The sequence below is a fragment of the Homo sapiens genome, chromosome 7 (assembly GCF_000001405.40).
Source record: "Homo sapiens chromosome 7, GRCh38.p14 Primary Assembly".
In the NCBI taxonomy this organism is placed as follows: domain Eukaryota; kingdom Metazoa; phylum Chordata; class Mammalia; order Primates; family Hominidae; genus Homo; species Homo sapiens.
Genome location: NC_000007.14, coordinates 60958334 through 60961376, shown reverse-complemented (window position 1 = coordinate 60961376; position 3043 = coordinate 60958334).

Sequence of the window (3043 nt, the reverse complement as noted above, 5' to 3'; positions counted from 1 at the left end):
CTACTAGAGGTCCACGCCAGACCCTCTTTGCTTGGGTATCAGCAGCGGTGGCTGCAGAACAGCGGATTTTCGTGAACCACAAATTCAGCTGTCTGATCATTCCTCTGGAAGTTTGGTCTCAGAGGACTACCCGGCCGAGTGAGGTGTCAGTCTGTCCCTACAGGGGGGTGCCTCCCAGTTAGGCTGCTCGGGGTTCAGTGACCCACTTTAGGAGGCAGTCTGCCCAGTCTCAGATCTCCAGTTGCGTGCTGGGAGAACCACTACTGTCTTCAAACTGTCAGACACGGACATTTAAGTCTGCAGAGGTTACTGCTGACTTTTTGTGTGTCTATGCCCTGCCCCTAGAGGTGGAGCCTATAGAGGCAGGCAGGCCTCCTGGAGCTGTTGTGGGTTCCACCCAGTTCCAGCTGCTTGGCTGCTTTGTTTACCTAAGAAAGCCAGGGCAATGGCGGGCCCCACTCCCCCAGCCTCGCTGCCGCCTTGCAGTTTGATCTCAGAGAGCCGTGCTAGCAATCAGCAAGACTCCATTGGCATAAGACCCTCTGAGCCAGGTGCAGGACACAATCTCCTGGTGTGCCATTTTCCAAGCCTGTTGGAAAAGTGCAGTATTAGGGTGAGAGTGACCCAATTTTCCAGGTGCCATCTGTCACCCCATTCTTTGACTAGGAAAGGGAACTTCCTGACCCCTTGTGCTTCCTGAGTGAGGCAATGCCTCACCCTGCTTCGGATCCCACACGGTGGGCTGCACCCACTGTCCTGCACCCACTGTTTGGCACTCCCTTAGTGAGATGAACCCGGTACCTCAGATGGAAATGCAGAAATCACCCATCTTTTGCATCGCTCATGCTGGGAGCTGTAGACCGGAGCTGTTCCTATTCGGCCATCTTGGCTCCACCCCTTATTTCATTATTTCATCATTTCATCATTTCACTTCATTTCATCATTTCATTTCATCATTTCATACCATTTCTTCATTTCATCATTTCATAATTTCATTTCATTTCACTATTTCAATTCATCATTTCATTTCAGCATTTCATTTCATTTCCTCATTTCATTGCACCATTTCATTTCATCATTTCATCATTTCATTTCATCATTCCATTTCACCATTTCATCGTTTCATTTCATCTCATCATTTCATTTCATCATTTCATTTCATTTCAGTGTTTCATTTCATCATTTCACCACTTCATTTCATCTCATCATTTCATTTCATTTCATCGTTTTAACATTTCATTTCATTTCATTTCATCATTTCATCATTTCGTTTCATCATTTCATTTCATTTCATGTCATCATTTCATCATTTCATTTCATTTCAGTGATACATGAATTTAAGTGCTAATGTGATGCCCAGGAAACACCCCATTTCCCTTTGTAAAACACTTCCTTCAACAGAACTCAACCTCTCATAGCTGGCGAAGTCTACAGGGATAACAGCCTCTCTTCAACCACCCAATTTGATTCAGAACCTCAAACACCACCTCAGTTTCATAAACACCTAAAACATAAACACAACACTTGGTTGTAAGTGAGCCAACAGTTTCTAGTCTCTTTCTCTGCTCAAGGCTTAAGGCTGTGTCTCCCCAACTATGTTCAGTGGAAGAAAAGATCCCCTGGACAAATAAGTTTGAGAACTGTTGTTGCAGGACTTCTGAGAACCTTTAAAACACAAATCCTCATCCGCAGGGATCTTCAGGAGTGAGATGGCTGATGCAGCACAACTTTCTTTCACAGGAGCATCTTGTAGAATACAGTATGAGATGCAGAAAGGCTGCATTGAGTCTTTTTAAGGGCCAGGGCCTTCGTGGCGGTGGGGTAGAAGCTCTCCAGATAGCATCTAATGAGTAGGAACATTCAGGTTGCTTTTTTTTTCCTTACTGGCAAAACTGTGTGTGCATCATGAATGAAGACGGTCTCCCTTATCCATATCAAAACTAAACCCTAATTAATTGGCTAAATTGGGACTCAACACCTCCAGGAGCCATGTGGAAGAAAGCCCCACCACACGTTAAATTAGCTTACCTCATCATATTTGAGGAAAGCAAAACGCTTATGACCAGTGTGCTGCTAATACAAGTCAACAGATAATGCTGTATGAAAAATTATTTTTCCCAATCACAGCTAGCAGAGTCCACATTTTGCATTACACCTTCCCTCCTTTTTTAAAATTTTAAACACAGGTCCTTTTCTCTCCTTTTTTTAAATTTTAATTTAATTATACAAGACGGAGTCTCAGTATGTGGCCCAGGCTATTCTTCAACTCCTGAGATCAAACGATACATCCATCTCTGCCTCCCAAAGTGCTGAGATTACAGGCCTGAGACACTGTGCCCGGACTTAAACACAAATCTTAATTCATTCTTACAATTATCCTGGGGTTAGAAAAATGGAAGGTGAAGAAAAATGGCAAGCAGGTAGGCTGACTTCGGCTTCATTATTTGGAAGGACAGTTTGCTCGGTTAAAACACACTACTGCCCACAAAGGCCAAGACAACATATAAATACAGACATATAAATAGACTTTATATGTGACAGCAGTTTGAATGGAGACTTTTTCAATGCAAATGGCAAACAGCTGTCCTTGGGAATAAATGACAACGAATTTTTTTTTATCTCAACAGCTGTCCTGAGAGCGTGTCTCTACATCTCTACCTGCATTCTGGAGTCAGGGAGAAAGCCAAAACGGACGACAAGACACTAGATCAGCCCTGTCCAACCCTTTGACTACAAGGACTTTTCCCCCATCTGTGGTGGTGGGTATCATGAAAATTATGCACAAACCTTTTTTTTTTTTTTAGCTCATCTGCTATCATTAGCGATAGTGTATTTTATCTGTGGCTCAGGAGCATTCTTCTTCCAATGTGGCCCTGAGAAGCCAAAAGACTGGACACCTGTGCACTAGATCAAAAGGCTACTCCTTCTGGAAGCAATTGTAAAGAATTTCTGACATTATCTTGACATGAAAACCAATGGATAGTGGGACAGAATGCAAAATCTTCAAGAATTTTTCTTGTTGGTTTTTTTTTTTTTTTGAGTC